This window comes from Homo sapiens, chromosome 9 (genome assembly GCF_000001405.40).
Source record: "Homo sapiens chromosome 9, GRCh38.p14 Primary Assembly".
Taxonomy (NCBI): Eukaryota; Metazoa; Chordata; class Mammalia; order Primates; family Hominidae; genus Homo; species Homo sapiens.
Window position 1 is genome coordinate 88500347 of NC_000009.12, and position 23438 is coordinate 88523784.

Here is a 23438-nt window from a genome sequence, read left to right on the forward strand (position 1 = left end):
TGCATGTCTGTCATCCCAGCTACTTGGGAGGCTGAAGTGGGAGAATCACTTGAGCCTAGGAGGTCGAGGCTGCAGTGAGCTATGACTGCACCACTGAATGCAGTGTGGGTGATAGAGTGCGACTCTTTCTCAAAAAAAGAAGTATCTCTATTGCTAATAGGAGCTTATTTTAAAGTAATAGTAAGAAGAAACAACAGTTTACTGTTTGCAGGCACTTTTCAGGATGGTTTACATATGTCATCTCATTAATTCCTCATTTAACAGATATTACTGTCACCTTTTTATAGATGTGGAAATTGAGGCAGAGGGATGGTAAATAAGTAGCACAGTCCTGTTAGTAGGAATTGGTCTGCCTCACCTGTATGTCCACACCTCTTGAGCCACAGCACTTGTGGGGCATTAGAATCTGTTTATTTTATTTATTTATTTATTTGGAGACGGAGTTTCACTCTTGTCACCCAGGCTGGAGTGCAATGGCATGATCTCGGCTCACTGCAACCTCTGCCTCCCAGGTTCAAGGGATTCTCTTGCCTCAGCCTCCCAAGTAGCTGGAATTACAGGCATGCGCCACCACATCCAGCTAATTTTGCATTTTTGGTAGAGATGGGGTTTCTCCATGTTGGTCAGTCTGGTCTCGAACTCCCGACCTTAGGTGATCTGCCCGCCTCGGCCTCCCAAAGTGCTGGGATTACAGATGTGAACCACTGCACCTGGCTGGAATCTGTTTTTTATTATGTGTACTGAAAGGGTTTTTAAAATTTTGGGATGATAGAGAGGAGAGATATATTTGCTCTCAAAAGATATGTATTCATACTCGCTTCATACCCTCTAGAATGACTCTAGTAAAAAAGACAATAACAGGTGCTGGTGAGGAGGTAGAGAAATTGACACCCTTCTACCCTGCTGGTGGGAAGCAATGCAAAAGGGCGCAGCTGTGCCGGGTGCAGTGGCTCACGCCTGTAATCTCAACAATTTGGGAGGCCAAGGTGGGTGGATGGCTTGAGCCCAGGGATTGGAAACCAGCCTAGGCCACATGGCAAAACCTCATCTCTACAAAAAAATACAAAAATTAGCTGGGTGTGGTGGCGCATGCCTGTAGTCCCAGGGAGGCTGAGCAGGGAGAATCATTTGAGCCTTGGAGGTCAGGGCTGCCAGAGAGCCATGATTGTGCCACTGCACTCCAGCCTGGGTGACAGAGCGAGACTCCGTCTCAAAAAATAAAAAAAAGATTCAAAAAATAAAAATAAAGTGGTGCAGCTGCTGTGGAAAACAGGAGGTTCCTCAAAAAGTTAAGCACAGGATTACCATGTGACCCAGCAATTCTTTTCCTCAGTGGAAATGAAAAGACATATCCACACAAATGTTCACAGCAGCATTATCCACAATAGCCAAAAAGCAGAAACAAGCTAAATGTCCGTTGGCTGACGAATGGATATGTGGTTTATCTCTAGCATGGAGAATTATTTGGGCCATAAAAAGGAATGACATTCTGATACATCCTATAAGATAAATGCATTTTAAAAATGTACTAAGTGTAGCCAGGCATTGTGGCTCACGCCTATAATCCTAGCACTTTGGGAGGCTGAGGCGGGTGGATTACCTGAGGTCAGGAGTTCGAGACCAGCCTGGCCAACATGGCGAAACCCTGTCTCTACTAAAACTACAAAAATTAGCCAGGCGTGGTGGTGTGCGCCTGTAATCCCAGCTACTCAGGAGGCTGAGGTGGGAGAATCTCTTGAACCTGGGAGGCAGAGGTTGCAGTGAACCGAGATAATGCCACTGTACATACTACAGCCTGGGCAACAGAGCAAGACTTTGTCTCAAAAAAAAAAGAAAGTACTAAGTGAAAGAAGTCACAAAAGGCCACATTTCATGATTCCACTGATATTAAATGTCCAGAACTGGCAAATCTGAAGAGGCAGAAAGTAGATTGGTGGTTTCCGGGGCCTGGGAGGGGCAGGTGGGAAGGGAGTGTAACTGTTTATGGGTCTGGGGTTTTTCTTGGGGACTATGAAAATGTTCTGGAGATCATTGGTGGTGATGGGAGTCTGACTTTGTGAATCTACTAAAACCCATTGAATAATGCTCTCAGTGGGTGAATTTTACAGTGTGTCAATTATCTCTCAGTTTTTAAGATCTCCATGATCTAGCCTGGAGGACAAAGGCTGCAGGCCCTTTGTCATGCCAGCATCCTGACCTGGTGCTGCCTGTGTCCAGGGGACCTGAATAGATTCACACTGTGGCCTGGATAGCCGTGCCAGCACACAGGAGGCTGCCATCCTCCTTGTGTCCCCCAGGCCACACCTCCTCCCCTTGTTCCTCACTCTACTGCTCCATTTACACTCATATGTGCCCACCCACAGTTCCGGGTTTACCGGCGCCTTCCTGTGTGCTGGGCTCTGCTCTAGTCCTGCGTACACGGTGAGTGGGATGAGGGCTGGCCCTTGAGGCTCATGGTCTGGCGAGGAGACAGTAAGTCAGCAAGTCACAAGCAAGATGGACAGGAGGGCAGCGGGCCCGGGGTGGGGACGGTACTTTGGAATGTGCGTTCTCAAACATCCTGGGGAGGTGATATCTGAGCCGAGACTCTTACTGGGAGCCCCAGAGGCTTGCTCTGGGACAAGGCTGTCCTCTGATTTATTGCCCCATTACAGTGAGACTGAAGGAGACTGCTCACTAAGAGAACTTCTGGCATCTTTAGGAAACAGGAAGAGACAACCCTTCTAGGACTGGGGAGAAGGATGGAGCTGGGGTAAAGTTAAGTGCAGCAATGTATTGATAGGCCTGAAGCAAAGCAGGCCTATGTGGATGGGGCCACAGCAGGACTGGACTGCAGAGTGGCTGAGGCCGGTTTCTCCGGAAACAGCAGAGTTGAGAGTGACACGAATGTCCAAGCCACTGTCTGAGGCTCTCGCCTCTGACGGTGTCTGCATCTTCCTGACTCAGGCCCTGGGCGACCATGGGCTGCTTCATCCTCACTGCTGTCATTTCAAATGTTTGAGCTCTGTAGCTGGTCTTACCTGGATGTCCTCAGGCAGAGGAAGGAGAGGGGGGCCCGTCCACTTTCACCGCAGGCTCTACAGCAGGCCACCCAGCCAGCACTTAGCAACAGCCACCAGCCCCTTCATGATGCTCAGAGCCATGGGGGGATGAATGTCACACTCCTCATTATGCTGCACACGTGGGAACCCTTAGACAAATACATGTAACATAGAGATTTGGCTGCTTCGCTCCACGTGCAAAACATGCTGAGTGCCAGTAGTACAGGGCACCATTTGAACTAAACCGGCCTGACAGAGGCCGGGAAGAAAGATCCACCTGTGGAGAGGACACTGCAGTGAGGCCCAGGGAGCAGGAAGAGTGGGTTAGGGAAGGGGCAGAGGCCCTGGGCCAGGCAGCCGCAGCTGCTTCCGTTAGAGGGACAGAGTGCCAGGAGAAGGGTAGGGCCAGCCCGGTGAGCCTGGCCTCACTCAGCGCTGGAGGCAAGAGTCATGCGTGGTGTGTGTGTGTCATGTATATGTACTCAAGTCCTTGTATCCTCTCCTCCTTGTCAAACACAGGCGCATGCACACAGCATGCATGCACACACACTGGTGTTTGTCTTCATTCTGTCACCAACAGACTTCCCTGTGAGGTCTTCTCATGCAGGTGTCCCCGCTATGTCACACCGTGCAGTTGTGTCCACCAGAGAGGACCCTTTATGCGCTCTGCCACCTCATTCAAGGGCCTCACAGGGATGTGAACTTGCCATCACAAATGTGGGGGACTGGGCCACCCATTCTCTTGTTCGGAAAGTCACCACCCCAGCTGACAAAGTCATTGCAGTGGGAGACTCGAAAGCTGGACCCTGTGAGCAACAGGGCAGCTGAAGAACCCACACTCTGTGCAAGCAAAGCACTAGCGAGATAGCGCAGCCACGGGGATGCCAGGACAGGCCCTGGGCCCTGCTCCTGGTGTGTGGTGTGTGTGTGTTTGGGTGGTGTGTGGTGTGTGCTGTGTGTTTACGCTATGTATAGTATATGTGGTGTGAGTCCAGTGTGTGCAGTGTGCGAGGGGTGTGTGTGTGTGGTGTGTCTGGTGTGCGTGTGGTGTGTACGTGGTATGTGTATATGTGGCATGGTGCATGTGGTGTTTGTGGTATGTATATGCAGTGTGTGGTATATGTGGTGTATGGTGTATGTGGTGTGTGGTATACGTGGTGTGTATGTGGTGTGTTGTATATGTGGTGTGTGTGTGGTATGTGTATGTGGTGCATGTGGTGTGATATGTGTATATGTGGTGTGTGTGGTAGGTGTGTTGTGTATATTGTGGTGTATGTGTGGTATGTATATGGTATGAGTGTGTTGTGTATGGTGTGTGACACGTGTGTTGTGTGTGGTGCGTGTGTGTTTATTGTGTGTGGTGTCCTCTGTTCCCGCCTGTCCTGTGTCATCCTGGGATCGGGGAGCCTCTCCCTCAGGGAAGGAGCTCACACCACAAACCCAAGCATGACCCGGGCTTTCACAGTGAGGCTGGGGCCACTGCTGGGTCCTGTGTGGGTTCAGTAGACCTCAAGCCACATTGAGAAAACACCCCAGAGCCTCACAGACAGCACCTGACTGAGAGCTCAGAAGGGCAGAGAGTCCCCACCAAAGTTTATTACCTACTTATATGTTTGGGATTGACATAAAATAAATTCTCATTGGGGTCATGTTCCAAAAACCTTTGAAAAGTTCTACTTTAGTTGAATCATTGTGCATGGATTGAACGTGGTTGGGTCTACCACAGAGACTCTCACCCACAGATCATTAAATAAGTATGTTTGGTCTTGGCTATTTCAGAGAATTATGTAACAATGTATGTGGACGGTGCATGTGTGGACGCCGTTGATGAGCAGTTGATCTAGTTGGTCTAGTGGCCGTATCCCATAAAGAGAAGTAATTTTGTTGGGTATGATAATCAGTTCATGCTGCCTCTAGACCCGCCTCATCCGTCATGGTAGCCACAGCCACGTGTGGCAGTGAGCACTGGAAATGTGGCTGATCTCAATGCAGATGTGCTACCAGTGTGAGAACTGGAAGACTCGGCACACAAAATATCTCAGTAATTATGTACTGCTGGTTAGACGTTTAAATGCTAGTATTTTTGGCACATTAGTCTCACTGTGCTATATTTTAAAAATCAGTGTTACCTGTGTATACTTTCTGTGTTTAATGTGGCTACGGGAAAATTTAAATTTCCATTTGTGGCTTGGATTCTCTTTCTGGGGGCTGTGCTGGTGTCCATATAACTGGGTGCTGTTTGTCCGCTAACAGATAGGCCCACAGGCACACTACTGTCCTGGTTTGCAGCCCAGTGCCAGCCCCTTTGTGGCTTTCTCATTCATCTGGTACACAAACCCTTCCCAAACTACTCCTTGTCCAGCCCACGCTTCTTTAGGAGGAGCTAACCAGAGCCCCAGTTCCTTCACTTCATTTGCTTCGGTTGCATGTGGCTTTATTCAGCTGGAGACCATGATCCTGAAGAGGGTCTCTGCCGGGGCTGCGGAGAGGGGCCTGCGTGGGGCTGTGCAGCTATGTCTTCCGTTCCCTCTGGCCTCGCACCACCTGCAATCTTGCCTTTCCTGCCCCTTGCTGTTGCAAGAATGCAAACGTATACTCCCTCCCTCCTCCTCTTGCTGACCTAGTCTAGGATGTCTAGGTGACCTGGGCATAACCTCTTGAATTCTGACTGTTCACCTTCCATTTTTACCAACTCAGGCATTTTTCTGCCGAAATACAATAGATTTCTCTTCTCTTTTGATCAAAACTCTGTGATAGGCCAGGGGTGGTGGCTCACGCCTGTAATTTCAGCCCTTTGGGAGGCCAAGGCAGGCAGATCACCTGAGGTCAAGAGTTCGACACCAGCCTAGCCAACATGGTGAAAACCTGTTTCTACTAAAAATACAAAATTAGCCGGGCATGGTGGCACGTGTCTGTAATCCCAGCTACTCAGGACTCTGAGGCAGGAGAATCGCTTGAACCCGGGAGGTGGAGGTTGCAGTGAGCCGAGATCATGCCATTATACTGCAGCCTGGGCGACAAGAGCGAAACTCCATCTCAAAAAAACAAAACAAAACAAAACAAAACAACTCTGTGATAGTGTGAATGGATGCTCCTCCCCAAATCTTTAAGCAGTTTCCCACTAATAGACATTTAATTTTGTTTGTTATTATAAAAATGCTTCAATGAATGTCCTTAGGCACAATTTGGGGCATTCGTGAGTAGATCTGCAGAATAAAATTAGAGATGAAGGATTGCTAGATCAATATGTGTGTGTATATATATTTTGAGACAGAGTCTCACTCTGTTGCCCAGGCTGGAGTGCAGTGTCAGGATCTTGGCTCACTGCAACCTTCGTCTCCCAGGCGCAAAACATTCTCCTGCCTCAGCCTCCCAGGTAGCTAGGATTACAGGCATGTGCCACCACTCCCGGCTAATTTTTCTATTTTCAGTAGAGATGGGGTTTCACCATGTTGTCCAGTCTGGTCTCGAATTCCTGACTTAAGGTAATCCGCCCACCTCGGCCTCCCAAAGTGCTGGGATTACGGGCGTGAGCCACCGCGTCTGGCCATGTGTGTATAAAAAGTTGTTAGATATAAGCTACTCACTGTGACTTCTAAACGACCTTTGGAAAATATTCATAATTTTAAGAAATCTGGTCATTTTCTCAGTAACTTCAAATAGTTTTCTGGAGAATGAGGATCATAAGAACAAATACTTCCTTTTAAAAATCCACTTCATATTTTTATGATAAGGACAAAATTGTCAACTCTTGTTTAATTTTACCACACATGGACAAAAATGGCAATTTTGCAAGGAAATCCTAAAATAACCTGACCCTAAAACACTTTTTCTCATCTGAATATTTAAGTGTACTTTGATTTTATAAAGTGCCCTATTTGTCTTTTCACTTTGTTAGTTAAACGTTATAACATCTGCACCCTTACGAACTGGTCTTAACAACTGTTATTTCAATTTAGGTTTTCCTGTGCGCTTAAGAAGACCCGTAGAGGAGAATTACCTCTGTGTTAAAAAACCAAAACAAAACAAAACAAAAAACCTGTGTCATCTGGCCAGGCGCAGTGGCTCACGCCTGTAATCCTGGCACTTTGGGAGGCTGAGGTGGATGGATCATTTGAGGTCAGGAGTTTGAGACCAGCCCGACCAACATGGTGAAACCTCGTCTCTACTAAAAATACAAAAAAATTAGCCAGGTGTGGTGGCGCATGCCTGTAGTCTCAGCTACTTGGGAGGCTGAGGCAGGAGAATCTCTTGAACGCGGGAGTTGGAGGTTGCAGTGAGCCAAGATTGCACCACTGCACTCCAGCTTGGGCAACAGAGAGAGACTATGTCTCAAAACAAACAAACAAAAAAACTGTGTCATTCAATGCACTTCTTTTCCATCTAGAAGCCCCTTCAAATGTGCAGAAGCCCCTGGGTGCATCCTGAGGCACTGGGATTGTGCAGTGGGCTCCCCCACAGTGGACACAGTTTAGGGAGTTGGTTAGCCTTGCGCTCTGTTTTTGGAGCTTTGCAAATTGAAAGAAACCCTGTTTATTTTCCTGACTTGCTTAAGAATAAAGACACTCAGGTCATTTTTGTTAACTTTACATCTAGCATCCAGAGAAATGTGTCACTGTTTTTAATCTCATTGTGCTGTTAATCATGGTCTTATACAAAAAGGATTGGGAAGGTTGGGTGCAGTGGCTCATGCCTATAATCCCAGCACTTTGGTAGGCCAAGGCAGGCGGATCACTTGAGGTCAGGAGTTCAAGACCAGCCTGGCCAACTTGGAAAAACCCCATCTCTGCTAAAAATAACAAAAATTAGCCAGACGTGGTGGCATGTGCCTGTAACCCTAGCTACTCAGGAGGCTGAGACAGGAGAATCACTTGAACCCGGGAGGTGGAGGTTGCAGTGAGCCAAGATCACACCACTGCACTCCAGCCTGGGCAACAGAGCGAGATTCCATCTCAAAAAAAAAAAAAAAAAAAGTAAAAGGAGTGGGGAAAATCAAAATCCCCAAAGTATGTTAATACCACAAAATAGTAGTGATTTTAAACATACAGAAGGGAAATTTTTATAGCAACTGTCACTGAGTCATTTTACAAACAGAAGAATATGAAATTACCCTAATGCACATGCATAGTAATCCAGTGTTTTAAGAAGAAACCACCATTTTAAAGTCCTAATGCTATGTATGGTATTTTCAACAGGAATGAAAATGGAACGAAGCCAATAAGAGTTAAATTGATGGCCAGAATGAGTGTCCTGGTTATTTTTATTAATAAAAATCCCCATTTGTGACAAAACAATTGAAATTCAGTTTAACCTCCAGCATGAAAACACTGCTGGCCTCTCCCACTGGGCTGCCAGCTGTCTGGCCTATGTCCTGGTCATCAAAGCCAGCAAAGTGTGGCTTCTCTTTCTTAGGGCCAGGTGGTTTGTGAGTTAGTGAAAAACTAAGGATGGGGATAGAGGAACAGGTTAAAGTCCACCTAGAGGAAGTAACTGGCCAGATTCCTAGTGTGAACAAGGCTTTTGGGCAACCACCAAGGAAGTGTCCACAAGTCTGTGGCATAAATAACTGGGGGCAGGAATGGGGGCAGTGGAGACTCTTATAGATTACAGACCTAAAAAAAAGAGGCTTTGGAGGTATACTAACCAAACACAAAGGGTGGACCTTGTTTGAATCCTAATTTGAACAAATCAATTGTAAAAACATATTTCACAGACAGTTGGGGCAATAATATAATATTGCGCTCTGTTTTTGGAGCTTTGCAAATTGGCTATTTTTGTTATGTGTGAAAAGTTAATTTTATAAGAAGTATCAATGGGTGGAATGACACCATGTCTGGGATTTGCTTTAGAATGTTCCAGCAAAATGTTGGCATGTGCCTGTAATCCTAGCTACTCGAGAATCCAAGGCAGAGGGGCCTGGCCTCAATTCTGCTTGAGCTCAGAAGTTCAAGACCAGCCTGGGCAACACAGTGAGACCCTGTCTCAAAAAAAAAAAAAAAAAAAAAAGAAAAGAAAAGAAAAGAAAAAGAATGTTCCAGCAAAATGCATCAATAAGCAGATACATAAATGGTGCAGGAGTACTCGAGGAATCCAGGATGGGCGGGGGTAGAGCAGATGAAGCCATATAGCAAGGTACAGTTGGTGGTTGAAGCTACGGAAGGGATAACTGGGATCCCTGCCCTCTGCTTTTGTGCATTTTTGGAAAATTTGTAAATAGCCTTAACAACCCCCATTTATTAAATGCCTGCCAGGTACAGAGCACAATGCCACCTCCCGGGATACCTCCCACCCAGTTCCTCAATCCCCAGCCATGTTCCCAAGCCAGATGACCCTGGAGGGCTCTGCTGGCTGGGACTGGGGTGAAGAGGATCGAGGGATAGCAGGGTGACCCAAAATTAGCATCAGGAAAAGTGTATTCCTTAAAGTAAAAAGCATCAATAAGCATAAAAGAATGAAGAAAGTAATGACTTCATTAGTTGATGATAAAAAGGAGCACCTTGTAAAGAATATATAATAATCCTATCTGTAGATACAAAATATACCTTCAAAATATATAAAACAGGTCAGGCGCGGTGGCTCACGCCTGTAATCCCAGCACTTTGGGAGGCCAAGGTGGGCAGATCACGAGGTCAGGAGTTTGAGACCAGCCTGGCCAATATGGTGAAACCCCGTCTCTACTAAAACTACAAAAATTAACCAGGCGTGATGGTGGGTGCCTGCAGTTCCAGCTACTTGGGAGGCTGAGGCAGGAGAATTGCTCGAACCTGAGAGGCGGAGGTTGCAGTGAGCCGAGATCTCAGCACTGCACTTTAGCCTGGGAGATGGAGCGAGACGCCATCTCAAAAAAAAAAAAAAAAAAAAAAAAAAAAAAAAAAAAAAAAATTCTGATAAAATATATAAAACAAAAAAGGACAGAATACAAAGAAATTGCCAAGTCCACTATCACAATGGGAAAATGGAACATAAGTCTTTGAGAAATTGAGAGATCAGCAGAGAGAAATCAAAAAGGGCACAGAAGATTTGAACAATATAATTAATGAGCTTAATATAAGGACAGGCATAGATCCCTGCACCAAAAGGGATCTATGCCTGTCCTTATATCAAGCTCATTCATTATATGTAGCTCATATATTAATTATGTGTAGGTAACATACACAATTGTCCCTGTTGTTAGATATGAGTTCTAAATTTCTTTTCAAATAATTAATATGTCAGTACGTTCAATTCTTTGCCTTCTACTTTTAAACTTAACTTCCTCATAAAGCAACCTTTTTCGATTACCTACTCCACCCTGACTCATTCCAATCACCTGCTCCACCCTAACTCATTCCAATCACCTGCTCCACCCTAGCTCATTACGATTACCTGCTACCTGCTCTGCCCTGACTCCCACCAAAGCACTCACCTTGTCATTCTCTTTAAATTAGCCAATCGGAATTAGTTTAGCCGGTGCGGTCTAACCCTAGCCAATAGGGGAAGGACACAGCAGCAGGGGCCACGTGCCTCTGGGATAAGAACCCCTTCCCCTCCCTTGTCCAAGTGTGCGCTCACCATTTCTCCATCTGTAAGGGCGCACCCTTCTATAGAAGTACCTTGCCTTGCTGAGAATTAAAAAGAAAATCTTATATTCGAGTGCTATTTATTTTGTGGCACCAAAACTTTATATATAATAACACTCAGTATCCACAGGGTACCAAAGTCAGGCAAGCTGATAGAAGAAACAAACAATTTAAAGCAGAGTATCCAATTATGGATAAAGTAAATATTTTAATAGTTATGAGAGAATACTATGAATATTTTATACCTTTGAATTAAAGCCTTAGACAAAATGGACAGCTTTCTAGAAAAATCAGTGACCAAAACTCATTGAATAAAACAGAAAACCTGAATAGACCTTTAACTGTTAAATGAACGGAATCACCAAAAATGTATCCACAGAAACAAAACAAAAGGCAAGCCAAGATGATTTTGCAGATGTGACCTACCAAACCCTTCAAGGAACAGATCATCTCTACTTTATACAGTTGCACCTGAGAAGAATAAAAGAGAGAAAGCCCTTCAATTTGTAACCGCCCAAGGGGTTCTCCTTGCCCGCTGCCTAGACAGGGGGATTGTAATAGAGAAAGACGTTTTTTGTTGTTGTTGTTGTTGTTTTGGGACGGAGTCTTGCTCTGTTGCCCAGGCTGTAGTGCAGTGGCGTGATCTCGGCTCACTGCAAGCTCTGCCTCCCGGGTTCACGCCATTCTCCTGCCTCAGCCTCCTGAGTAGTTGGGACTACAGGCGCCCGCCACCACAACCAGCTAATTTTTTTTTTTTGTATTTTTTAGTAGAGACGGGGTTTCACCGTGTTAGCCAGGATGGTCTCGACCTCCTGAGCTCATGATCCGCCTGCCTTGGCCTTCCAAAATGCTGGGATTACAGGTGTGAGCCACTGTGCCCAGCCCTGAGAAGAGTTTAATTCACGCAGAGCTGGCTCTACAGGAGACTGGAGTTTTATTTTTATTCAAATCAGTCTCCTGATTTGAATCGGAGTTTTTAAGGATAGTTTGGTGGATCGGAGTTTTTAAGGATAGTTTGGTGGATAGGGGGTGGGAAAGTGGGGAATGCTGATTGGTTAGGTTGGAGATGAAATCATAGGGGATTGAAGTGAGTTTTTCTTGCTGTCTTCTATTCCTGGGTGGGATTGCAGAACAAGTTGAGCCAGATTACCAGTCTGGGTGGCCTCAGCTTGTGCATCGGAATGCAGGGTTTGCAAAATATCTCAAGCACTGATCTTAGGTTTTACAACAGTGATTAACATCCCAAGAGCAATTTGTGGAGGGTCCGACATTGCAGCTGGAGGCTGCCTGGCTTCTAAACTGCAATTTCTAATTTTGTAGCTTAATTTGTTAGTCCTACAAAGGCAGACTGGTACCCAGGCAAGAAGGGGGTTTATTTGGGGAAAGTACTATTATCTTCTTTGTTTCAAAGTTGAACTATAAACTAAATTCCTCCCAAAGTTAGTTCAGCCTTCTCCCAGGATTGAACAAGGACAACTTAGAGGTTAGAAGCAAGATAGATTAGATTAGGTCAGATCTTTTTCACTGTCATAACTTTCTCAGTTATAATTTCTGCAAAGGCAGTTTCCAATTCATTCCATGAGGCTAAGATTTTCTTGATGCCAAGTGAATAGTGACAGTCTAGGGGTACCTCTTATGTTCCTGTTACTTATAAACAGAGGTGCTAATAGCCTTTGAACATCTTTGTTTATAGAGAATGAAGGATTTGAACCTAAGGGTTGAGGAGAAGGTGTAGGGGAAGAATAAATGAGTAAAAGCATTTTAAAGTTTTTAATTCAGTTGGGTTAGATTTTTTTTTAAGTAAAAGATTTCTAAAGTCTTATCTCTTGAAAACAATATTTTGATCTGCAGTAGGATAGATCCTAAGGACTAAAGAACCACAAAGAAATTTTAAGTTTTATTCCAATGACTTAATTTTAGTAGTAAGATTGCTATTGTTATTTGGAAACTATTACATTTATACTGTAGAATAAAATAAATCAGTAATTTTTGATCATTTAGAACAAAACTTTACAGTGTAAAAGAAGACAGATACAGGTATAAAATTTTAAGTTTAGAGCCAGGCGTGGTGGCTCATGCCTGTAATCCCAGCACTTTGGGAAGCTGAGGCAGGTGGATCACCTGAGGTCAGGAGTTTGAGACCAGGCTGGCCAACATGGTGATGTAGCAGGACAAGCCACAGACGAAACCCCTCAGACACTGAGTTAAAGAAGGAAGGGCTTTATTCGGCTGGGAGCTTTGGCAAGACTCATGTCTCCAACAACCAAGCTCCCCGAGAGAGCAATTCCTGCCCCTTTTAAGGGCTCACAACTCTAAGGGGGTCCGCGTGAGAGGGTCGTGATCCATTGAGCAAGCAGGGGGTACGTGACTGGGGGCTGCAGGCACTGGTAATTAGAACAGAAGAGAACAGGACAGGGATTTTCACAGTGCTTTTCCATACAATATCTGGAATCTATAGATAACATAACTGGTTAGGTCAGGGGTCGATCTTTAACTACCAGGCCCAGGGTGTGGCACCAGGCTGTCTGCTTGTGGATTTCATTTCTGCCTTTTAGTTTTTACTTCTTCTTTCTTTGGAGGCAGAAATTGGGCATAAGACAATATGAGGGGTGGTCTCCTCCCTTAGTGAAATCCCGTCTCTACTAAAAATACAAAAATTAGCCGGGCATGGTGGCATGTGCCTGTAGTCCCAGCTACTCAGTAGGCTGAGGCAGGAGAATCACTTGAACCCGGGAGGTGGGGGTTGCAGTGAGCCAAGATTGCGCCACTGCACTCCAGCCTGGGCAACAGAGTAAGACCCTGTCTCAAAAAAAAAAAAAAAAAAAAAAAGAAAGAAATTAAGTTTAATAAAACCTCTATAATTTTAGATCTGAGTTAGAAATATCAGAATGAACTCAGGATTTATTTTTCTCTTTTTACAACATAAATGTTTCCTAGTTCTGGCCATGAAAACACTTAGAAGCCATGATAACCCAGTAGCAATGAGCACTTCTGTCAGAGGTGCGTGAACCAGAGCAACTCCATCTTAAACAGGAGCTGGGTGAGATAAGACTGAAACCTACTGGGCTGCATTCCCAGATGGTTAAGGCATTCTGAGTCACAGGATAAGATAGGAGGTCAGCACAAAATACAGGTCACAAAGGCCTTGCTGATAAAACAGCTTGCAGTAAAGGAGCCGGCCGAAACCCACTGTCAACGTGCATCCGTGTGAAGAGACCACCAAACAGGCTTTCTGTGAGCAATAAAGCTTTTTAATCACCTGGGTGCAGGTGGGCTGAGTCCGAAAAGAGAGTCAGCAAAGGGAGCTAGGGGTGGGTCAGTTTTATAGGATTTGAGTAGGTAGTGGAAAATTACAGTCAAAGGGGGTTGTTCCCTGGCGGGCAGGGGCAGGGGTCACAAGGTACTCAGTGGGGGAGCTTCTGAGCCAGGAGAAGAAATTTCACAAGGTAATGTCATCAGTTAAGGCAGGAACTGGCCATTTTAACTTCTTTTGTGATTCTTCAGTTGCTTCAGGCTATCTGGTTGTATACGTGCAGGCTTGGGCTCAGAGGCCTGACACCCACTAAAACCAAAATGGCTACGAGAGTGACTTCTGGTCATCCTCACTGCTACGCTCCCACCAGCGCCGTGGCATTTACAAATGCCATGGAACATCAGGAAGTTGCCCTATATGGCCTAAAAAGGGGAGGCATGAATAATCCACTCCTTGTTTAGCATATCATCAAAAAATAACTATAAAAATGGGCAACCAGCAGCCCTCGGGGCTGCGCTGTCTATGGAGCAGCAATTCTTTTTTTTTTTTTTTTTTTTTTGAGACAGATTTTGCTTTTGTTGCCCAGGCTGGAGTGCAGTGGCATGATCTTGGCTCACTGCAACCTCCGCTTCCCAGGTTCAAGACATTCTCCTGCTTCAGTCTCCCAAGTAGCTGGGATTACAGGCGTGCCACCACACCCAGCTAATTTTTGTATCTTTAGTAGAGATGGGGTTTCATCATGTTGGTCAGGCTGGTCTCGATCTCCTAACCTTGCGATCCGCTCACTTCAGCCTTCCAAAATGCTGGGATTACAGGCATGAGCCACTGCGCCCAGCCATTGGAGTAGCCGTTCTTTTATTCCTCTACTTTCTTAACAAACTTGCTTTCACTTTGCACTGTGGACTCGCCCTGAATTCTTTCTTACATGAGACCCAGGAACCCTCTCTTGGGGTCTGGATGGGGACCTCTGTCATGTAACACTTCTAATTCTCTAATGATTTGGTTGCTAAATACCGTATTCCTCTAAAAAAAGAGTAGGGCTCTTTGGAGCAATGGCTGATTCCAGTCTGGGGCAGGAAATGCACAAGACAAACCTGGGGCACATTTTGTGCCAAACAACAAAAACTACGAGGGTCATTTTATTTATTTATTATTATTTATTTATTTATTTTTTTGAGATGGAGTCTCGCCCTGTCACTGAGGCTGGAGTGCACTGGCATGATCTTGGCTCACTGCAACCTCCACCTCCCGGGTTCAAGCAATTCTCCTGCCTCAGCCTCCCGAGTAGCTGGGATTACAGGTGCGTCCCACCATGCCCGGCTAATTTTTTGTATCTTTAGTAGAGAAGGGGTTTCACCATGTTGGCCACGCTGGTCTCAAACTCCTAACCTTGTGATCTGTCTGCCTTGGCCTCCCAAAGTGCTGGGATTGCAGGCATGAACAACTGCGCCCGGCTCTGGGTCATTTTAGAAGGACACAGCTAATTTGAAAGGAGTCCTACTGGCCAAAGAAATGATTTGAACATTAGAAAGAAAAACTGCTACAATGGATCAAAGCACATCAAATTTATAAAATGCCATATGTATTAATAAAAATATTTAATAAAATGCATTAGCTCCCTTTCAAGGTTGGTGGGTGTCACTCATTTTGAAAATCCATAAAGAGTCAAACATGTATCCAGCTTTTTCTGCATGAACGGCACCTCAGGGAAACCATACCAGAGGAGGGAAAGGTCTTCTTTATGGAAAAATGTCAGTGCAGAAAGCTAAAGGGAGGATTGGATTAGGAAGTCACCATGTTAAACAGGCTGAAGTAACAGATTGAGACAAAAATAATCAGTGGATGCTAAAGCCGTAGGTGAAATTTTGAGGAAAACTTTTAAAGGACAGAGCAGGTTGACAACACCTGAAACCACTGATCAGTTTTGATGGAAGCGATGCTGTGGGAAGCACTCAGCATCACCTAAGAGGTAGCTCACCAATAAAAGAAAAAAAAAATCAACCCTCTAGTTTATTTTTTTAATTTAAATTTTAATTTTTTTTGAGATGGAGTTTCGCTCTTGTTGCCCAGAGCTGGAGTGCAATGGCGCAATCTCTACTCACAGCAACCTCCACCCACTGGGTTCAAGCAATTCTCCTGCCTTAGCCTCCCGAGTAGCTGGGACTACAGGCATGCACCACCATGCCCGGCTCATTTTTTATTTTTAGTAGAGACGGGGTTTCTCCATGTTGGCCAGGCTGGTCTCAAACTCCCAACCTCAGGTGATCCACCTGCCTCAGCCTCCCAAAGTGCTGGGATTACAGGCGTGAGCCACCATGCCGGCCGACCCTCTAGTTTAAACCAATGTCTTACAGGAAACCAGGCATGGAGGGATAAATTAATGACACCACAAGTAAACCATCTGCCAAATCCAGACTGGAAACTTCTCTAAGCTAAACAACTCGGCTTCTTCAGTGAGTAAACAGTATGGGGAAAAGTAGCGGGGGAGGCTTTAATACATTGAAAGAGGCCTGGAGACTGATCAACCACATTTTGTTCCTTCCTTCCTTCCTTCCTTCCTTCCTTCCTTCCTTCCTTCCCTCCCTCCCTCCTTCCTTCCTTTCTTTCTTTTTGAGACAGGGTCTCAGTCAGTCACCCAGGCTGGAGTGCATTGGTGCAGTCTCACTGCAACCTCTGCTTCCCAAGTTCAAGCCATTCTCCCGCCTCAGCCTCCTGAGTAGCTGGGACTACAGGCATGCGCCACCACACCAGGCTGGTCTTGAACTCCTGACCTCAAATGATCCGCCCACCTTGGCCTCTCAAGGTGTTGGGTTTACAGGTGTGAACCCAACCTAGCCAACCACTTTTTTTTTTTATACTCTAAGTTCTGGGGTACATGTGCAGAATGTGCAGGTTTGTCACATAAGTATACACATGCCATGGTAGTTTGTGGCACCCATCAACCCGTCATATACATTAGGTATTCCTCCTAATGCTATCCCTCCCCTAGTCCCCCACCCCCCGACAAGCCCCAGTGTGTGATGTTCCCCTCCCTGTGTCCATGTGTTCTCATTGTTCAGTTCCCACTTTTGAGTGAGAACATGCGGTGTTTGGTTTTTTGTTCTTGTGTTAGTTTGCTGAGAATGATGGTTTCCAGCTTCATCCATGTCCCTGCAAAGGACATGAACTCATCCTTTTTCATGGCTGCACAGTATTCCATGGTATATATGTGCCACCTTTTCTTTATCCAGTCTATCATTGATGGGCATTTGGGTTGGTTCCAAGTCTTTGCTATTGTGAACAGTACCACAATAAACATACGTGTGCGTGTGTCTTTATAGTAGAATTATTTATAATCCTTTGGGTATATATCCAGTAATGGGATTGCTGGGTCAAATGGTAATTCTAGTTCTAGATCCTTGAGGAATCGCCACACTGTCTTCCACCATGGCTGAACTAATTTACACTCCCTCCAACAGTGTAAAAGCATTCCTATTTCTCCACATCTTCTCCAGCATCTGTTGTTTCCTGCCTTTTTAATGATCGCCATTCAAATTGGCGTGAGATGGTATCTCATTGTGGTTTTGATTTGCATTTCTCTAATGATCAGTGATGATGACTTTTTTCATATGTTTGTTCAACCAACCACATTTAATGAGTGGTTTTCTTTGGGTCCTCACTTGAGCAAACCAAGTGTAAAAAAAAAAGACTTTTTAACCTTTTAACCTTTGAAACTTGGGAGAATTTGAACATGAGGAATTGCCATTGAGTAAACTGCAACCTACTTTGCCACTGGATGTTATTAAAGAATTATTTTACTTTTTAGTAGGTGTGGTAATGGCACTGTAGTTAAATTTTTTAAAAGAGTCTTATATGTTTAGAGATAACATACTGGAGCAGTCATGTGTCAGTTAATGACAGGAATATGTGCTTTTTTTGGTGGTTTTTTTTTTTTTTTTTTTGAGGCAGTCTTGCTCCGTCGCCCAGGCTGGAGTGCAATGGCGCAATCTCCCCTCACTGCAACCTCTGCCTCCTGGGTGCAAGTGATTCTCCTGCCTCAGTCTCTTAAGTAGTTGGAACTGCAGGCGTTGCACCACCATGCCCAGCTAATTTATTTATTTATTTATTTTGTGATGGAGTTTCGCTCTTGTTGCCCAGGCTGCAGGAGTGCAATGGTGCCGTCTTGGCTCACCGCAACCTCCGCCTCCTGGGTTCAAGCGATTCTCCTGCCTCAGCCTCCCAAGTAGCTGGGATTACAGGCATGTGCCACCATGTCTGGCTAATTTTGTATTTTTAGTAGAGATGGGGCTTCTACATGTTGGTCAGGCTGGTCTCAAACTCCCAACCTCAGGTGATCCGCCCACCTCGGCCTCCCAAAATGCTGGGATTACAGGCGTGAGCCACCACACCTGGCCATGCTAATTTATTTATTTATTTTTTAATGTTTTATTTTGTAAGCAGAGATGAGGTTTCACCATGTTGGCCAGGCTGGTCTTGAACTCCTGACCTCAGATGATCCACTCACCACAGCCTCACAAAGTGCTGGGATTACAGGCATGAGCCACCATGCCCGGCAGACAGGAATATGTTCAGAGAAATGTGGTGCTAGGCGATTTTGTCATCCTGTGAATATCATGGAGTGTACTCACACAAACCTAGATGGTATGGCTTCCTACTCACCTAGGAGGCCATATGATAAAGCCTATTGCTCCTAGGCTACAAAACTGTACAGTGTGTGACGTACTCAATACTGTAGGCAGTTGGAGCACAGTGGTAAGTGTGTATCTATCATATCTAAACATAGAAAGGCACAGTAAAAATACGGTATCATAATCTTAGGGGACCACCGTTGTCTATGTCGTCTGTAGTTGGCGGAAACATATGGTGCATGAATGTGTTTATGGATGGTTAAAAAAGGGCTCATCTCAATTGAGAAGACGTGTCAGGTGAATAAAATATCTTGTGGGGGGCAGGTAGCCAATCCCTTGCTTGGATCTAAGAGTAGAGAAAACGTGGGTTAGACACAGCCATCAGGAAAGGGATCATGGAATATTCAGGAACATCCCTGCTTTCTGGTGACAGGATGTCCCTACTAGTGGATCCCAATTCTGGCCTGATCACTGGCATCCAGGGGCCGTCTCAGCAGAAGCACAGAATAGGGGCTGGTTACCCACTATGGGGCCTCTTTCCCCTTCAGAAAAGTCTTCAGTTCCATAAGAACTAAAGTCAGCCACAGATGTTTAGACACCCATGTGCAGGATTTCTGAGCCTGAATTCTCCAGTGACCCTGGCCGTGGATGCTGACTCCCGACCTGAATTCCTTTGGGGGCTCAGATGTGGGGCGGAGCTGGTTTCTGCCCCTTGCTATGATCTTGAAACTGCTTTTGCAAAAATTGTATCAGTGAGAAAAGTATGACAGTGAAAGAGATCTGAGCTAACCCACCCTGCGTCTTGCCTTCCCCTTAATTATTCCTGGGTTATTGGGCTGAGCTAACTTTGAGAGACTTTTAGGATATAGTGTTAATAGGTCTCCCCCCAAATTCAACCGCTTTTGTAAAGCTAATGGGAGGCCATCAGGCTGGGAGGTGGAGAGGAGCCTGCGTCCTGCTAAGGCGCAGACATAAACGATTGTCAGCCATTATTCTTGAGGTTTTAAGATATGCAACTTCCCCAATTACTCCTGCAAATAATATCACTGTTGTAGAACCTAAGATATCTTTTCAGTTTTATCTTCATGTCTGACATCTATGGTTCCACCTGGACCTACCAACCCCACTCCTGTGGCCCACCAGAAGCTATTGAGCTCGCAGGAGGGCAGCTTCCACCTGCTATGATTTCATCTCCACCTCAGCCAATCAGCAGCCACCCACAGCCCTTCCCCCAAACTGCCTTTGAAAAACTCCTGGCCGGGCATGTTGGCTCATGCCTGTAATCACAGCACTTTGGGAGGCCGAAGTGGGTGGATCACCTGAGGTCAGGAGTTTCAGACCAGCCTGGCCAACATGATGAAGCCCCATCTCTACTAAAAATACAAAAAATTAGCTGGGTGTGGTGGCGGGCACCTGTAATCCCAGCTATGCGGGAGGCTGAGGCAGGAGAATCACTTGGACCCGGGAAGCAGAGGTTGCAGTGAGCCGAGACAGCGCCATTGCACTCCAGCCTGGGAAACAAGAGCAAAAAACTCCCTCTCAAAAAAAAAAAAAAAAAAAAAAACAAAAAAGGAAAGAAAAACCCCTAACCCTTGGTTGGGGATGGTGGCTCACGCCTGTAATCCTTCCTAGCACTTTGGGAGATCTAGGCGGGTGATCAGCCTGGCCAACATAGCGAAACCCTGTCTCTACTAAAAATACAAAAAAATTAGCCAGGTGTGGTGGGGGGCGCATATAATCCCAGCTGCTCAGGAGGCTGAGGCAGGAGAATTGCTTGAACCTGAGGCGCGGAGGTTGCAGTGAGCCGAGATTGCACCACTGCACTTCAGCCTGGGCGAAAGAGCGAGACTGTCTCAAACAAACAAACAAAAACAAAAAAACAAAAAAACCCTAACCCACGAGCTTTGGACAAGATGATTTGAGTATAAATTCCATCTCCCATGGTCATGAACGGCCTTGTCTCTATTAAACTCTTTCTTTACTGCAATGCTATGGTCTTTCTTTATACAATGGGCAGGAAGAAACACCTTGGTGCTTACAACCTGGTTGCGGGATCCCCAGGCCCTAGTGCCCATGGGGTCCTGGTCTCCACTCCTCCCCATACCCCCAACAGTGGGCCATGCTGATGGTTATGCTATACGCTTTAGGACCTCACTGCACCCGGGGTCAGGACTTAAACATCAGCTGTTTGTCTGGTGGAATGAACAAAACTTTTCCATTTCAGGTGGTAGCACATAGACAGAAATTCTTGTGATTTAATGTTTTTCATCCTGCCAGGGAAAACCATTTTCCCTTTAGAGACGCTTGTCCTGACAACCTATTTGTTTTCTCAAAGCAGTGATATTTCCAGAATTTGTAAGTGCCTGTGTTGGGGGAGGAGGGCTGATTGGAAAGGAGAATGGGGACGCGCAGAAAGAGGAATGAGCTTCCCACAATGATTTCTGATATGAAGAGAAGGTAAAAAGGTAATACAGTTTAGAGTTTTCTCTTTTACCTTCAAAAAGAGCATTACATTATCTTGGGTCTTTTATGTAATCCTCTCTCAGGTTGCTAATTAGGGGGTGATTTCATCGCTGAGCTGCTCTCCAGAAGCCCTGTTGCTTGGGCTTGGAGACTGCTTTGAAAGCTGAAGTTTGTAAATGTGGCTTAGCTGGAGAAGTGCCCCCACAGAGGCCGTGGCTCTGAGCTGAGCTCAGCGCTTCACAGAGAGGAAGTAGCTTTCCGATTCCACCCACTGAGCCAGTGCACTTGCAGCAACTGCAGGGCTTAGAGCATCCTTCAAACCCAAACCCAAAGGCATATGAATGTGGGTTTCTCTCTTTAAAAAATGGGACTATTTTACAACAGCTATAATTTGGGGATGAAAGTGTCAAATAGCCAGGTGCGGTGGCTCACACCTGTAATCCCAGCACTTTGGGAGGCCAAAGCAGGTGAATCACGAGGTCAGGAGATGGAGACCATCCTGGCCAACGTCGTGAAAGCCCGTCTCTACTAAGAATACAAAAAATTTAGCCGAGCGTGGTGGCACGTGCCTGTAATTCTAGCTACTCGGGAGGCTGAGGCAGGAGAATCGCTTGAACCAGGGAGTCAGAGGTTGCAGTGAGCTGAAATTGCGCCACTGCACTCCAGTCTTGTGACAGAGACTCTATCTCAAAAAAAAAAAAATCAGTGTCAAATAGTTTACTGGCACGGACAACATACAGGAAGCCTCATATCAGTTAAGGAAGGCCAGTTGAGTGTCTTCCAGAAAGTCACCCCCAAAGGAAGAAGGAGAGAAGGAGCCTCTCCTAACCTGAGTGCCGGGAAGGAGCAGGGCAGATTCAGGGGAGCCCAGACCAGGTCATACATTGGAGAGATGACCCGAGGGGCCTCTCATTTTCTTCTTTTTCTCAGACAACTGGTCACTCCCCAGGGTTTGACTCTTTCATCCTCAAAGCAAGTTAAAATAAAGGCAGAGCCAGATGACGACCCATCTTATTTATTTATTTAACTTTCACTGCTTTACAAATGTCCATTTTTGTGAGGAGGTTCTGGGACCATCCCACTCTCTCCAAGAGCCTCTAACTCCCCTTTATCCTGGCCAGCCCATGAGATCCTCCCTCTGGAAAGGGACAGGGTCACGCAGCTGTGTGGCTCTGCGGAACCCCAAATCCTGTCTGCTCCACAGTTGACTGCACCCTCCCTTCTGTGTGGCCAGTGGGGAGGAAGACAGAGGACATTGGTCCTGTCCTTGAGGGCCCAATCTAGACGCTGGCCTAGGCCACATTGGGTGGGTGGCACCTAACCTGGGGCTGTGGTTGGAGAGGCTCTCTTGGATTGGGCTGGTTAGAAGCGACACCTGCCCTGTCACACAGTACCTGAGATGAGCATTTGAGTATGAACTATTATTATTATTATTATTATTGTTATTATTAAGATAGAGTTTTGCTCTTGTTGCCCAGGCTGTAGTGCAGTGGCGCGATCTCGGCTCACTGCAACCTCCGCCTCCTGGGTTCAAGCGATTCTCCTGCCTCAGCCTCCTGAGTGGGGCTGGGACTATAGGCGCCTGCCACCACGCCTGGCTAATTTTTGTATTTTTAGTAGAGACGGAGTTTCACCATGTTGACCAGGCTAGTCTCGAACTGCTGACCTCAGGTGATCCACCCGCCTCAGCCTCCCAAAGTGCTGGGATTACAGGTGTGAGCCACCGCACCTGGCCGAGTATAAATTATTAATATTTGGAGCGATCTCAGGTAACACAACCAGAGAGTGGGGCAGTAGGGCCAGCGACAGGGGAACCTTCAACAGGTAAACTGTAAGGCAAAGAAAGAGATGGACTTGGACAAATGGATAGAAACAGTGTCTAGGGATGCGGCCAGGGTGACACACCAGGAAGAAATGTGAGGGGGCGATTTCCAGGGACATCAGGATGTGGCCACCTTCCTGGGGAGGGAGGGAGCTTGGGAAAGCCTCTGGATGGGGGAAAAGCTTCTTTATGACCTGGGTGAGGAGTGCAGGGATATTCCTCTTAAGGTAACTCATTCAGCTGTATGTTTGTTTTATGTGGTTTTCTGAATCTCATTTTTATTTTACAATCAAAGCTGGAAGAAACACATGGATGAGATCAGGAAAAAATGGGGAGGCCTGAGAAAATGTCTATGCGTAGGCTGCTGGAATGTGTCCTTTCTAGGGAGGTCTAGCAGACTTTCTATGCTACAGAGATTTTACACAAAAAAGCTCTTGCCTTTTGTCTTTGACTTGGGTACCGAAGAGTTGAAATGATTTCCTATAACTATGAATTATGCCCTGCTTCCTGGTTTAATTGCTTTTTGCTGAAGTTGATACAAAGATGAATGAGTCTGATAACGTGGTGGTTTCTCATCATCCAAATGCAGGTGGCTTGAGGCCTCCAGGTTTGGTCTAAGGTGAAGTCACGTGTTCTCAGGTGAGCCTCTAAGACCCTGGGCATTTGCACATG

At 45.9% G+C, this 23438-nt stretch overlaps 1 annotated feature.

The window, feature by feature from the left end:
* Positions 19323-20027: an enhancer, noted in NCBI's record as "H3K27ac-H3K4me1 hESC enhancer chr9:91134584-91135288 (GRCh37/hg19 assembly coordinates)". NCBI's record gives its function as "activates a minimal SCP1, AML or CMV promoter by ChIP-STARR-seq in naive and primed H9 embryonic stem cells {active_cell/tissue: H9 hESC(naive and primed)}" and the evidence as "EXISTENCE:reporter gene assay evidence [ECO:0000049][PMID:30033119]".